The 15,914-nt window shown below is 34.4% G+C and overlaps 1 protein-coding gene across 8 annotated transcripts in view; it reads right to left on the bottom strand.

The window, feature by feature from the left end:
* The window catches only part of ZFPM2 (zinc finger protein, FOG family member 2), a 486,102-nt gene that overhangs the window by 384,312 nt on the left and 85,876 nt on the right, over positions 1-15,914 (bottom strand). For 5 of the 8 annotated variants that reach the window (NM_012082.4, XM_047421634.1, NM_001362837.2 and 2 more), the window contains exon 2: positions 926-1,084. The exons of 1 other annotated variant lie outside the window; for it this stretch is intronic. In NM_012082.4, the coding sequence (NP_036214.2) occupies positions 926-1,084 (159 nt within the window). Of the gene's footprint in view, positions 1-925; positions 1,106-5,221; positions 13,763-15,914 lie in introns of those variants that run through there. 2 more of the 8 variants (XM_047421630.1, XM_047421628.1) reach the window with 2 other exon arrangements.

The raw sequence follows: 15,914 nt of genomic DNA, 5'->3' as shown, positions 1-15,914 counted from the left end.
CACAAAAGTCCACTTTATTATATTTATCTGCATAAAAAACAAACATGTCTGAATAAAAATGGTGCATACACAAACACAGACAGACATACAGAAACATACACTTCCAGTCAAGCCCTCTGCAAAAGCAGCTGTTCTAAACCAAGAAAGTGATCCAAGCATTTGTGAAAACGGTACATTGGTGCAGGAGGAGATAAAAGACTTGCAAAACAATCTGATAAAAATAAATATATAAGAATCATGAGGAACCTTAAACTGACTTATGAAAAAAGTAAACAAATGAGTATATATGCTCCATGAGAACACAGTCACTGGCAAGGCCATCTGGCTCCAAGTCATGGCTGGAAATAAGCTGTGATATGTCTCAAGTGCTTCTTGGATTATATTGTTAATGTGTCAAAAAAGTATCTAGAATGGAGAAAGAATGTATATTTTTTTATTTGACAATATCCCCACAGCACCATCCTCACCGTTGAAAGTCAACATTAAACACCTAAAGCATTCGGTTTTCAAAAGGAATGAGATGGAACCTTAGTTGAGAACTCTCTGACTCATTCAGTGCTAATATTTAATGCCTAATTTAGTGCCTTGCAAACAATTAACATTCAATAAATTCTTGTTGAAAGAATGAATGAATAAATGATCAACATTAAATATATCACAGTTAATTGGCCAATAACATGAAGAATGTGCATAGTTAATTGGCCAATCAACATGAAAATATTTGTTTCAATATAAAAAATTACTGGTTATTAGAGTGGAGTTACTCATGTCCCTCGAAATAAAATTTTATGTTTAAAAAAATCTGCACTTATTTTCAGACGGCTGAATTATGTGTCAGCACTCTGAGGACTATTATGCATTTTTTTAAAACATTACAAAATCATTTAAGTGGACTCACATATTACATCCAACCATCAACAATTACCTTTGTTACAAAAGTATTCCACTTCTTCGCAGCTCAGATTTTCAGGCCCAAATTCTGTGGAAAAGCTTTCCTCCAATGGAAAGTCTCCTTTGGAGATGATGTCTGTTTCCTCTGATGGACATTCTTCTTCCTCATCTTCAATGGCATCTTCAAGCGGCCCTTGAAAAAGAATCAGGGAAACTGTACCAAAAATATGCAAGGAAGACAGTGAAATAAAATCCTTAAATAGAGCCTTTTTTTGTTACAGTGGTGAGAAAAATAATATACTCTAAGTAGTACCACCAAGGGGACTCACAAAAGATAATGCCACATCCGTATATACAAGAAACAATGACCTATGATGAAAGATCCAAGGAAACCAGTGTCAGAAGTTATAACACAGAAAGCAACCTGCATCTCCATTGCGTCCCCACCCCCAACCTCAAGCCCCAAACTTATTTTTTTGATTCGCTCTTTAAGAGCAAAACTGTGCACTTTATGTTCATTTGTTAGAATTAACTATCTGGTAAAGAGTACAAGTCTCTTTTACACTGTTGTACAATTTTACCTGAGATTTTAATAAAGATTTAAAGTAATTGAATGCATTTTAATTGAACTGAGATTTTAATAAAGTCTATACTTTTAAAAATCCATCTTAAGAGTGGATTCTGAGAAAAGATTTCATTATATGTGTTTGAGGCTTGAAGAAAAATTACATATTTCTCTCCCTGATGAAAGCATAACCCTATTCATAATTAATTGAATTTTTTCTGAAATGAAAAGTGGTTTTCTAATGAAAAAATGTAATTTGTATTTATGTGATACTTTTTCAGTAATAAAAATACAACTCCCTTGGAGAGAATGAGAGTGAGGTGCGCTACATTAATGGACCTATTTTATTGAAAGGAAAGGGAGGGCTGGAGTTGTTCAGACCGATCTGAAGTGGACTACATGGGAATACCACTGGGCTGATTGTGAATTTCTGACTGCCTCTAAAGAATCAAAGTAACCAACTCATTTTAATAAGTAGAAACTGCATTTGCTCCTAAAGAAGTGATGTGGCATTTTATCCAAAGAACACAATTATGGTAATTTGTACTAATTGTCACTCATGGCAGCAGTCCCATCAGACAGGCTAAATACTCAAAGCTCAGGCAGCCTCTCACTCTCACTTTTTAGAAATGTCCTAGGAAATTTCCAGGGCCTAAGGAGCAATCTTATAAATAATTTAAAATAGTGCATATACTACAATTTATATATATATGTAGATAAATAAGAATAAGTATCGTATCTAGTGTTTCCCCAAAAAGCAAGTTGTAAAAGGACTAAATTCATATGACACCTTGGCATAGACAGAATAATTGGATGGGTTTAAATGAAGGGACATCCAACTAAAAATTTCTTACAGAGTCTCTTTGTCCTTTAAAAAAATGTGTTTTACCTTTCCTTTTTCAAAAGAGCAAATGTTAAGAAGAAAAGGATGCCCTAATTCCAACTCTGGTCATATCGTGTTTTATTATACATTCCATATGCTCAAGGTAGAAGGTTAAAAGAACCATGGATTTTGTTTTTGCACCAACCACATTCAAAAGTCATGCATCTCATATTAGATTTTATCTTATTAACTGTTTCAAGTTTAAAATGTATAATCTTTCACCTTTTAGAATAATTACGTCAAAGAGCAAGACAAGCAAAGAATATATAAAACAGTAAGAATGTAAAATATTACAATCCTTAAACCATTTATTTGATAATTTCAAGAGACAAATTATTAATGCTAAGTCTAATGAGAACTATAATAGAATATTTCCCTTATTTTTTTTCAACAAATGTAATTATAACAACAAATTTGATCAAAAGAAGACATGAGCTATATCATTTGTTTCATGTAAGAGTTTCAAAGCACTTTCTATTTTTTTATTTGTATAATTTAAGGGGTACAAGTGCAGTTGTGTTACATGGATGTACTGTGGTATGTATACAAAATGAAATACTATTCAAAGCACTTTCTTACATGATCTTTAAAATAATCCAGTGAAGTAAGTATGAGAATTATGACTATTTTCATTTTGTAGATTTGAAAAATGAAGTTCACGAGGTTAGTTAACTAGAATAAGGTTTCCAACTGATAAGTGAAAACGCTAATGTGAAAATTTAAGATTATTATTATTTTTTGAGAAATGGTCTGGCTCAGCTACCCACACTGGCATGCAGAGGTGCAATCACAGCTTGCTGCAGTTTCAAATTCCTGGGCTTAAGTGATCCTCCCACCTCAGCCTCTGGAGAAGCTGGGACTACAGGCATGAGTCAAGAGATTTTAAAAATACTTTTAATTAATATACTACTATGCAAACCACTCTTTGGTAGTTATAAATGCATTGCTTCAGAAACAAAACTATAAAACATAGGTAACTTAGAAAATGGTCAATTCATATTAACATAATTATTTATTCATAGATGCTTATGATCTAGTCTTTAAAAATGGAAAACTCTCTTGCTGCTCTTCGCAAATTACTGAAAGTCAACCAAAATATTAGACACCTCCCCAAAGTCAGAAAGATAGTCTTATAGACTTATCAAAAATAAAATAATTACTATTATTTTTATTTACATAATTTATAATTTATACCCACACTAAATCAACATGTAAAGTAGCTTTTAATAGCAGTTATAACAGAAATTACAATATATACTTCTTTTGAAATATATACTTCTTTTGGAATATATACTCTGAGTTTTACTAATGAAAAGTAAAGCTCCAACAGATATTTTCATATATAAAATGTGAAAAATATAAAAATAAGTCTATTTTTCTGGATGCTCTTCAATTATAAAAGCCTGTATATAATAAAAAGAATGTATACATATTATACAATGTTTAATTAACAGTAATATATATGCTTTCCTTTTACAAAATGAAATTCTAGACATAGGTACTTTTTTAGAAGAGGATTTTACTAAGAATAATACGTAATGAATAATTGTTTTAAATATTCAATGACAACAAATTGGCTTCAATAGTATGATATCAATTTAAATTTAATCATTGTATTAAAAATTATATTGAAATGCTCATGGGAAAATGTGAAAGAAAAATGTACACATAAAGCATTTTTTTATTCTTAAATGTCAAAGTCATGTTATGGCAATTTTATATATATACAGATACATATGTATATTTATATATACATAATCTTTTATTTATCAAGGTTTTTGATAAGATCTTAATATTATCTATTCCAGGGTTGTTTTATTTTACATGTTGGCTATTCCTTTGCAATTCCAAGCATGGAATTAAAAAGAAGCACCTATATGTTTAAAAATGAATTATCAAAATTCAAATAAAAGGTGAACAATACTAAGCTCATTTGTTCAAAATTTTTTGAACATGAGATCTCATTGCCAATATTTAAAACAGGCCATAGGAAGGTCATTTGATGACCAACTTGTATTTCTTCCAAAGCAAGTGTCAGCTTTATATAATTACTGTACTTTAAAATGTGAAATAACTAACCATTTCTTTAGCTACACCATCAAATCAGGCTTTGGGAAAAAGGTTTCTTTTAAAATGCATAATATTTATGGTTTAAGATCAGATCTCACTCTACTCTCTACATTGCATGTTTCTTTAACAGGGAAAACCTTACAGATAATCGGTGGCCATAAACTAACATTTTAAAAGGGTAAGAGACACTTGAAGCACAAGTACAATTAATAGCACCAATGAAGGAGGGAATGAAGGAAACTCCTGTGTATGGATTAGTGGGCACAGAAGTCCACTTCAGAAAAATCACCACACATAATTTGACACAAATAATAATATCTACTCAGAAAAGGCTCACGACCGAGCTCCATGTGCCCTCATGGAGAAAATTACTTCTGATTGAGGCCACTTGGCAGGCAAGTGTGAGGAAATCTGAATTTCAGCTCTTCAATTGCTTCTGATTTATAGATATTCAAACACACTCACCAGAATTAATCGTCTCAATGTTTATAAATATGAATATTTACCTCATTTAAAAATGCTAGTGATTAGTTTTACATCCTCAAGCTATGAACACACTGGTGCTATATGTTAGGCCCATAACACTGTTCATTGTCTCTCAGAATAAATGAGTAAGCATCTTCTCATATTCTATACTGGTTGAACAATGAGAATAACTGGGAAATTCTGGTGAGTGCAAAGTAGTACTGAGTACTTCCATTTTCAGAGAAGAGAGGCAATTGTGTACTCAGGACCATTTGAATTGGCCACAGCTACCTTTGCACTCTGGAGAGAAAGTGGAAGATAAGAAGGGAAGTGTAGATTCACCACACCTGACGATGCTGATGGACAGCCCAATGTACAGTGAAGCTTTTCATCTAGTCAGTACCAACAGCTGCGCTGTGCAATCTGGGCCTAAGGTGGGTATATCGGATGATTTTTCATTTGGTGGTTGTTTCAATGATCTGCAGTTTGTAAATGACAAATGGGGCATTAAAGATTAAATAGTCTAACCCTATACACTGGTAATGTAATAGCTGAATAAAATGAAATTTTAAAAAGTGGATTTGCATGGTTAAGAAGCAGTTAATGGAGCACTTAGTCCCCCAGATAAATGAATTTATAAGAAAATTATTGCTACAATTTCAGGGGGCTAAAGAAAACCCTGAAATGCATCCATAGCCACTGGAGTAAGAGCTAGAAGGTGACAAAGAAAATTTCAGAAAAAAAAAAGGGGGGGATGCGAAAACATATAGGCATTCTGAGGAATAAGGATGAAAATGATGCAAAATAAGCAAAACAATGAGAAAATGCAAGAAATGATAAAGAACAACATAGTAAATATTAAGTCAAATACATATGTCTTTCGACAGACATTGTCTCAATAATAACTTTCTACTTTGGTAGCCTACTATAAATGGAACAACAATCCTCACCTAAATGTCAGATTGTCTTTGTTCAGGTAAATTCAAAGCACTTCAGAATAAGAAGCATCTAAGATGAAATTAAGTTCTACAAAAATTAATATACATTATCATGTATTAATAGGGGAAAGAAATGCCAACTTCTATGGTTCTGATATAATATCCCCCAAAAGGGATCTTCTCTCTTAAACAGTTATTGGCATTAATGTATTATACATTACTTTAGCTTGATATTGCATGCCTTTTGATTAAAACAAGACACTCTGTCATTATGGAACTACAGAAAGCATTCAATCTCCTCTTCATGCATTAATATTCTAAGCATTCTAGAAGCTGCACAAGACTAGCCACCTAGCAAAATGAGATTGTTTCAGAATACTGGGCAGCCTTGATTGCAACTGACAGGTGGGATGAAAGTCACATTAAAATATTATCATTCCCAATAATTACAATAATCCATCACAGTGTGCACAGAAATTCCACTAGGTGAATTTGCCCCGAAAACACACAAATATTTCCAAACCTTTTTATTCCAGAGCTTCCCAATGTATCCCATTTTGGATCATTTTAATATCAGATAGCATTATTAATATTAAAAATTAAAATTTTCATCACAAACTTTATGTCATTTTACTTGTGCACAGAACAAAGAATCTATGTCAATGGGATACATTTCTCAAGATCTTAATCAATGAAAATGAAAATGGTGGTGTTCTCCCAAGTTGCCAGCTCCTGTTTTATGCTCTTTTGAACTCTTTTTCAAAAGGTCCAACTCACACAAAGGAATGGACAGGCAAAGAAAGATCTCCAATGTATATAAAACAAAAGGAACCTCCAAATCATACAATTGAAGAAACATACATATATATTTAAACACGAGATATATATATATGTGCGTGTGTGTGTGTATATATATATATATATATATATATAATGTTTGAATTGTGACATCATAATCGAGCCACATTTGTCAAATGATGCTACCTTTCAAAATATACATATAAAAAAGGGATAAACAAATTCTGGTTCATGATTAATATATAAATACACAAATATATCAAAACTCTACATAGGTATACTCTATTTTAGTTGATAGGTAAAAGGAGTTAAAATATAACTTTTCATTTTAAACTTGCTACATATTCTATGTGATGAAAAGGAAGGAGTGGACTGACACTAAAATTGGATGACTCCTTGCCTAACAATCTGTATTCTTGGCTTGTATTTCTGTTAATTTCAGGATAACATTCACAAAATACAAAATATAAAGCTCTTCTAATAGGAAAATTTTAGTATGATATGTTCTGTACGTATATATCCTGTTTGTTCAATTAGTATTGGGGAAAAAAATAACCCGACTCTAAATTAAAAAGCTAAATCCCAGGAAAACGTTCCCCTCCTCTCTTAATTATGCAGTAGGAACGTTTCTAGCTTGAAATTACTAATACGTTTTTACTAATTTTATCTGGGGCATATCTTGTGGCTCTTAGTAGTTCCTCTCTCAGAGTTCTCAGCTGCTACACACAGACTTTCTTATGAATCATTACCCTGTAGGCACACCTCAAAATGCTTCTCACTCGGTTCCTATTACATTTGTCTCATGCATATCCCACAGAGCCATTTAATGAGAAGGGGCAGAGAAGAGGGACACTCTTTGGACAGTGCAAACCCATACTAACTCATGTAATTGAGCTTAACAGCAAGAATAAAATCTTATTTCTGTAGTCTAAAAAAAAAATACTATTTTAAATGAGCAAGTTCTTCCTGCAGTCACTCACTTTTAACAATAGTGGCATCAGGGGATCTAGTAGGAAGGAAACATTTTTATTAATTTTTCTCTTGTCTGCCAGAAGAATGTTGATTTTTTTTCATTTACATTTGTTGCCTGCAGGTAGCAGACCAGAGAATCATATGGTAGAAATTCTTCTTTTTGATTAATTTCTTTCCATGTGTTATGTTATTTCTTATATATAATTGATTTTGGGCTTTTGCTCATAGCTGTACCTCTTTTTTATATCTGTACCAACTGCTGTCCTTCAATCAAGAAAGTTGAAGGAAATTACCTGAATTTCGTTAAGTTTATTAAAAACGAGATCTGTGAATATTTAAATTGAGTTTTGAAATGTTAATGCAAAAAAAGATATTAGAGAATTTTTAATGGAGAATTCAATTTGACCACACACCATTGAAAAATGAAGGGGAAGGGGTCAGGTCTTATTCAAATTGTTTCTTTAGGGAGAAAAAATGTACTCTTTAATCTTATAAAAATGGAGTAATATTCTTTGCTACAAAGTCTTTGGCCATTTTTATAGATGGTGGTATTAACAGTTTTTGTATATAAACTTGAAAACAATTTAAATTATGTAAATATTATTCCCCCCGAAATGCCTTGCTTTGAGAACCTTCAAATTAACTGAATGATGCTAACAAGAAAACAATTTTTCTTAGAACATGTGCAAGCCTCGCAAGCAGCAAGTAATCTTACACAGTAGATTAAACACTGATATCACAGGAAAAATAAAGTCAGGGGAAGAAATACAGGCAAATTTGAACTAGAATCTCTAATGACTAATTTACTCTCAGGAAGTAACTCAGGCATTGAGAAAATTCAGTTCATTAGTACATGCCTTGTGCATTGACCCAGGAAGTTAGTGACAGAGATGGCATTGAAATTCAAATATTTTGTAATCAGGTCTCAGTCCAGAGTCCTATAAAGTTATCTCAGTCTATTGAAGATGGTAACCCTATCAAGAAAAAAATACAAAAGTATATTCATTACTGAAATGATATATTTTTATATGATTGAGATATATTTCAATAATAAAAAGCTCCTAACAGAAAATAAGTACGAACGATGAAAGGCATTATATATTAGCTTATTCTCTTTTCTTTATGAGAGTTTTATGTATTTATTCATTAACTTATTCATTATCCACTTAAATAATATTTACTGAGGATGCTAAACATGGTAGGCACTGTGACAAGCACTGAGATAACAACAACGTATAAGATAAGATGGCCCCAGCCCAAAGTGAGTGGATAATCCAGTTAAGGAGACAAACTTTATTCACAAGATATGAGACTGGTGGCAGGGTGGGCAGGAAAGGCTTCTCATATAATATCCTAGATTCCAGCTACCCATGCATTTTTCTTACTTCCTTTGTTATAATTCTATCTTACCCACATTTGCAACTGAAAGCAGCAAGAATATTACCTTGCATTTAGCCAAGGCACTTAATATTTACCAAAATAAGGATTTTTCAATTGAAGTTAATTATAATAAAGTTGGAGACCAAATCAAAGTGAGAGAATACTGGGCAAATTTTAAAAAAATCTAGACACAGTGTCAAATTATTATTATTTTTACTATCGTTGGAGAAAGTTTATCCCACTAAACAGTGTGAAATCCATGGTCCTTTCCTGGTTATTCAATGTACTCTCACCCTGCTAGAAGTCATCTTGAAGATGTGAGATAAGACAAGCAGCAATTTTTTTTTCCCCAAAGTGAGAAATGCTACCACAACAAAAACATCAAAAGCATGAATGTAGGACGTTAGATTTTTTTAAAAGCACTTATGAGTAAGAAAGGAAAGGATCTGAACCTAAACACAGAACTCCTTATATATATTATGTGGCATAAATGAATTAATCAAAATCTATAACTTTATAGACTTCTATGAGATACCACATATACACTTTTCTTTAGAAATTTCAAAGCACCATCAAAATATTGCTACTATTCTTATCTAACAAACTGCATTCTGCAAAACTATCAAATACGTTTACATCAAAAATTAGTGTATAATACCCTATATGTTTATATAACAAAGTTAAGCTAGTACAAGTAAAAAGGAAGTGATTTCTAAGTTATTTTTAAATATAGGTATAAAAGGATGTTTTAAATGGGGCACGGAGTCTTTTAACTCCAGAATGGATTTATATTTCCTTCTTTTGCTAGAGTGAATCAGACAAGGTACAGGTTAAATTAAAACAACAACAGAAGCAGTAGCCAAACAACACTAAAAAAGGGCTTTGGCGACCAAGTTTCTTAAATCGTTTCATAGGGCAAAGATGAATTAAGAGTGGTCCTTAAAAACATTCAGCATACGTTTCTTTGTTTCATGTGTAACAATACAGTTACATGAATGAAATGAAGAAAAGATAATCAATTCACTACAAAGATGTGAGGGGGAAACATTTAATTAGAGAAGAAAATCAACAAAAAATTTAGCATCGGGTTTTAGTCATTGCATATGTAAACTTTTTTCTTCTAAATTAATACAATTTGTATCTAGCCCACATTTCATCAAGTAGGTCAATTTCTCTTTTATAATCCTCCATTTTAGAATACCCATTCTGATTCTGCCCTATTAAAGCGATTCTTTTCCTATGCAATTAATTATTGATAAAACATTCCAAAAAGAAATTTTAATAAAATAACTGCTTCCAAAATGATGCCTGGCTTCATTGGCTGATTACAAGCAGTTTATCAGCCCACAGGGTTCTCCAAGTTTGGTACCTGGACCAGCAGCATTAGCATCACCTGATAATAGCATCACCTGGTAACTTGTTAGAAAGGCAAATTAGAAATGGACCCTACTCCAGATCTACCGATTTCAGAAACTCTGTGGGATGGGGCCATCAATCCATGTTTTAACAAATCCTGTAGGTGATTCTGATGTATGCTCAAGTTTGAGAACAACTGTGCTGGAATACAAATGCTATCCCAAAGTCACTTTGTAATAGTATAAATTATATTTATTACACTATTGTCATTTAATACAAAGAGTACAATAATTTACAGTTTATACAGAGTCCTTTCCTCAATTATGGAGAGACACTTTGTGTACTGCAACTGATGATCTGTAATCAACCTGCCTTTCACCTGGACAAATCCTGATAAGTGGCAGGTTAGGTTTACTCATTTAGTGCTGGTTAATTGTTCTTTCAAATAACATCAGAGAGTCCAGCAAATGCTCAAATAACAACATTCTTTCAGATGATTCTGGGACAGAATAGACCTGTAGCCACTTCAGGCTGATCTCAAATGTTACTTATACATATCTGCCAAGAGTCCTGGATAATGCAAACAATTGACCAGGATGTTGTTTTACTAAAGAATCTTCCACTGTGTGGCTATGACATGAAAACAAAGCTAGGGGACAGTATGTCAATTTTTTAAAATTATGGCATGCTGTTTGAGTCTTCTGAAGAGCAAAACCTTCCAACAGCAAAAGCATTCTCTTCATCCCCTCTTTTGAGGGCCTAACATTTCCTGAGACATGAGCAAGGGTACTCTGTCCAACCAGGCAAAGCTCGCTAATCAATTAATGACAATCAGATTGAGGGGACAGGTCCTGGCCAGATCACACACATGTTCCACTGCTCAGCATTCCTCACTCCAATACCTTATTATAATCAGGTTCATGCACAAACCAAGTGTAGTCTGTGGGATTTTACAGGACAGCAACATAGCCAGCCTTCATTGTTAACCCACATACGTGGCTAACAAAATGACATGTCTTAGCACCACCACCACCTTGAACCAAATAGTCAAAGTGAGGGCAACGATAGAAATCTGTTCCATTTTTCACAAATAGGTGTGCCTCCTGCTCCTGGAACACTGCCAGTTTGGCCCTCCTTGTGGGTTTGACACAGTAAATAATGATGAATATTCTCGCTAAGCCTGTACAGTCCTGCACACTTGTTCTTTGCACAGCCAGAAAAAAAAAATCCTCACATAAAACAAAGCATTGTTGTAGATCCCGCATATTGTTTGGAATACAAACTTTATACAAATTCGCTAATTTCACAGGTGTATGTGTAATTTTCCAAATTTCCATTGTGAGAGATCTCTTTCATCTTTAGGGGATGAAGAAAACCTCCGACAGATCTCCAGTTGCAAAACCCTAACAAGACGAAGGGGGCCATGTGAGCAGAGGGGAAAACAAAATCAACATGTTCAATCCGCTCTAATTATAACATGCCCTAGGACACATATCAACACGGAACTTTATTACAAGTGTTCTATGTTGTCATTAAACCACCATAAAGCTACCTCGATTCAGTACCAGTGAACATCTCAAGAGGCTCCCAAAAGCACCTCCCTATAAAACATATCTTCAAAAAGACTTTTACTTTATACTAGCACATTAAAAGAGTGTCTAAAGACACAGAGGCACTCGACATAGCTATAATTTTAAGAAGAACACTTACTCTCTGGAGAATTAGGAGAGCGGGTAGGGTGTGATAACAAAACTAGCTTGCCCACCCTGCTCAAGCAATCGCAACCTGTAGGAAGCATCTAAGGGCTATCTTAAAAAGAAAATATCCCCTGCCTTTGATAACAAAGCCTACAATAGAATAAAAGCAAGCATCTTTACAGGCAGAAGTTATAGGGTAAGCCAAAAGGTGGAGAGCTCACATAAATGAACTCTCCTCTGGCAGCTCGCAGTACTCCAATACTTGTATCATAAACTCTGCGCCAGCCTCCCTGAGACACATACCTATGCACTCCTGACATAAGTGTCTATATGGCATCATATGCAGGAAGAAAACCAGGCTTAGTAGATTCTTTTCCAATTGAACAGAATTTCATTTTCTCCCTTAAACTGTAAGAGTCAAAATGCATTTACCAAATCTGTTGAAGGGGAAAAGTTGTAAAGTTCTTATTTCAATGTTAATTTAATAGCTTCTACTTAATGAAGACCCAGAAAGGTTCTCATCAGCAGCTACTCAACCAATAGCCCTCTCTTACTTGAACTGAAAAAAATGCACATCCCTTTCCTCAAGATAATTCCAGAATATTAGATTTGTCAGGACTTACTTAACCTTCAGTGCATTGGCAACAAGTATGGGGGATTTCGCACCTTCCTGGACATTTAATTCATGTTGCTCTTAAATCCATGGTTTCTAAGACCTCAGAGACAGACAAATACATTTAACTGGAATAGATCTATGACTAAACATTTTCCTATTTTCAAATAGTTGCCTCAAACATGAATTAATGCTTTTCTTTAGTTTGCTTTTGGTTTGTTTCTGTTACTGTTCTTTGTTGTAATTCTGATTTGCCATTGAGCCACTAGTAACTACAACCAGCATAGTGTAAATAGCGTGAAGTAAAATATATTGGTTTTTATGTGTGAATAATCTTTTTCTAGTTCAGTTATTATTTCCCTGCCACTGTTTAAAAAATCATTCTTTCACCACCCATCCCCTGTTTTGATACACTTAAAATATTTTACTCATGGCTTATAAAAATATAAACAAGTAAATCCTATCAGCAAATGCAAAAAAAAAAAAAAAAATTAGAGCATTTAATCTGATTCCCACCCCACAACCCCCAGCTGTGGCCCTATGCTTTCTGATAGCAAAAAGGAAGGAAATACTCATTCACCTGTTGCCTAGCAGCACATCATACCACACCACCTTCCTCATTCCACTGTTCTATCTTGCAGTCAGGCCAACGTTTGGCTCAAGCCTCAAAAACGTATGGAAGAGTTTTATGAAAATGTAGTCAGGTTCCATCTGCATTTTTAGAAAAATATTATGGTGCCTACTATTGCCTCTGCCATTCACTACTTTATCCCTAGTCGTATCCTCTAGGCCTCCCCTATGTACATTAACTTTATAGTGTGTAATATATTCATGCCGAAAGTTTGATTAAAATGTAGCCTTTCAAGCGCCACTCTCAAAAATTTAGCAGCTCTAGGATAGGACCCAGGAATCAGCACTTTCAGTCTGCCATCCAGGTTATTCTAAGACAGATCCCACATTGGGACACACCAATTTGTTTTCTAAACCTGAGAAGGGTCAAGTGAAGCAGATCTGAGTTATGACCCTCCTTCAGGAGTGTGAGGGTCACAATAAGAGTGGACCATTATCCTGAATGGTAATGCCTAGGTTTTCTTCTAGGGATTTTATGGTTTTAGGTCTAACATGTAGGTCTTTAATCCATCTTGAATTAATTTTTGTATAAGGTGTAAGGAAGGGATCCAGTTTCAGCTGGCTAGCCAGTTTTCCCAGCACCATTTATTAAATAGGGAATCCTTTCCCCATTGCTTGTTTAAAGGACTTCATGTTTAAAACACCAAAAGCAATGGCAACAAAAGCCAAAATTGACAATTGGGATCTAATTAAACTAAAGAGCTTCTGCACAGCAAAAGAAACTACCATCAGAGTGAACAGGCAACCTACAGAATGGGAGAAAATTTTTGCAACCTACTCATCTGACAAAGGGCTAATATCCAGAATCTACAATGAACTCAAACAAAATTACAAGAAAAAAACAACCCCATCAAAAAGTGAGTGAAGGATATGAACAGACACTTCTCAAAAGAAGACATTTATGCAGCCAAAACACACATGAAAAAATGCTCACCATCACTGGCCATCAGAGAAATGCAAATCAAAACCACAATGAGATACCATCTCACACCAGTCAGAATGGCGATCATTAAAAAGTCAGGAAACAACAGGTGCTGGAGAGGATGTGGAGAAATAGGAACACTTTTACACTGTTGTGGGGACTGTAAACTAGTTCAACCATTGTGGAAGTCAGTGTGGCAATTCGTCAGGGATCTAGAACTAGAAATACCATTTGACCCAGCCATCCCATTACTGGGTATATACCCAAAGGATTATAAATCATGCTGTTATAAAGACACATGCACACATATGTTTATTGCGGCACTATACACAATAGCAAAGACTTGGAACCAACCCAAATGTCCAACAATGATAGACTGGATTAAGAAAATGTGGCACATATACACCATGGAATACTATGCAGCCATAAAAAATGATGAGTTCATGTCCTTTGTAGGGACATGGATGAAGCTGGAAACCATCATTCTCAGCAAACTATTGCAAGGACAAAAAACCAAAGACTGCATGTTCTCACTCACAGGTGGGAATTGAACAATGAGACCACATGGACACAGGAAGGGGAACATCACACACCAGGGACTGTTGTGGGGTGGGGGAGGGGGGAGGGATAGCATTAGGAGATACATCTAATGCTAAATGACGAGTTAATGGGTGCAGCACACCAACATGGCACATGTATACATATGTAACAAACCTGCACGTTGTGCACATGTACCCTAAAACTTAAAGTATAATAATAATAAAATTAAAAAAAATCAAAAAAAGAAAGAGTGGACCATTATCTCACATCAGCAAACCCCTGAGGTCATTTTATTCCCTCCATATTTTATGTCTACTTTGCTCAGGAACACCCTTGTCCTACCTGGGGTTCTGGCATATCCCCCAATAGAAAACTTGACTCTAATTCTATAGCATTATTTCCTATGAAGCCTTGTTTCCACGTGTGAACAGACATATGATATCAATTTCACTATTTATTTTACTCATTGCACTTGCCAATTATTCATATGTCATATGGAGACTTGGCTCATGAATAAATTGTGGGGGAATTCCATTTCATCATGCTTAGCAGGGTTCTTGGAGGGTTAACTGTGGCACAAATGAGGCAGCTCTAAATTAGGTTCTGGAAATCATTATCTGTATTTTTGGATTTGTTTTTACTTATATAATAAGTGGCCTGTTATCGGGAGTTACAGTGGAAGGGCAGGTATATCTGATGTTTTTATGAGCTGTTAATGAGTTCAGAATCTAAAATATTCTCAAGAAATCTACCAGGATTCCACACACAGCTACTGAATCTTTCACAAACTTTTGAAAGGCAATATGTGAAGTGGAGAATAAAGTTCAAAGTGTATGTGTATGTATGTTGGGGAAAGTTGCAAAATTGGGAAAGAAGTTCCTTCACTGAGGAGGTTAGAGTTAATTGACTATTTAACATGACTCGAAGTGAGCTGTCTTAAATTTGGTAAAAGTACTTAAGAACTGCACAGACTGACAAAAAAATAAAGAAAAATTCAGATTCATACGTGCTGAGTTAAAATTTAAAAAAGCAACCTCTCCTTTACAGTAACATCTTTTATATCCAGGATCACCAAGTAATAAGACGTCAAATAGAATGTGGCAGATCGCTAACTCAACCATTAAATCTCAAACAAAGAGGGAAAAAGAGGAATGAATCCGTTCCAATGAAAAAAATTCTAAAATAGGCTAGACA

Source organism: Homo sapiens, chromosome 8, assembly GCF_000001405.40.
Source record: "Homo sapiens chromosome 8, GRCh38.p14 Primary Assembly".
Classification (NCBI taxonomy): Eukaryota; Metazoa; Chordata; class Mammalia; order Primates; family Hominidae; genus Homo; species Homo sapiens.
This window is presented reverse-complemented; position numbering and strand designations above follow the sequence as displayed.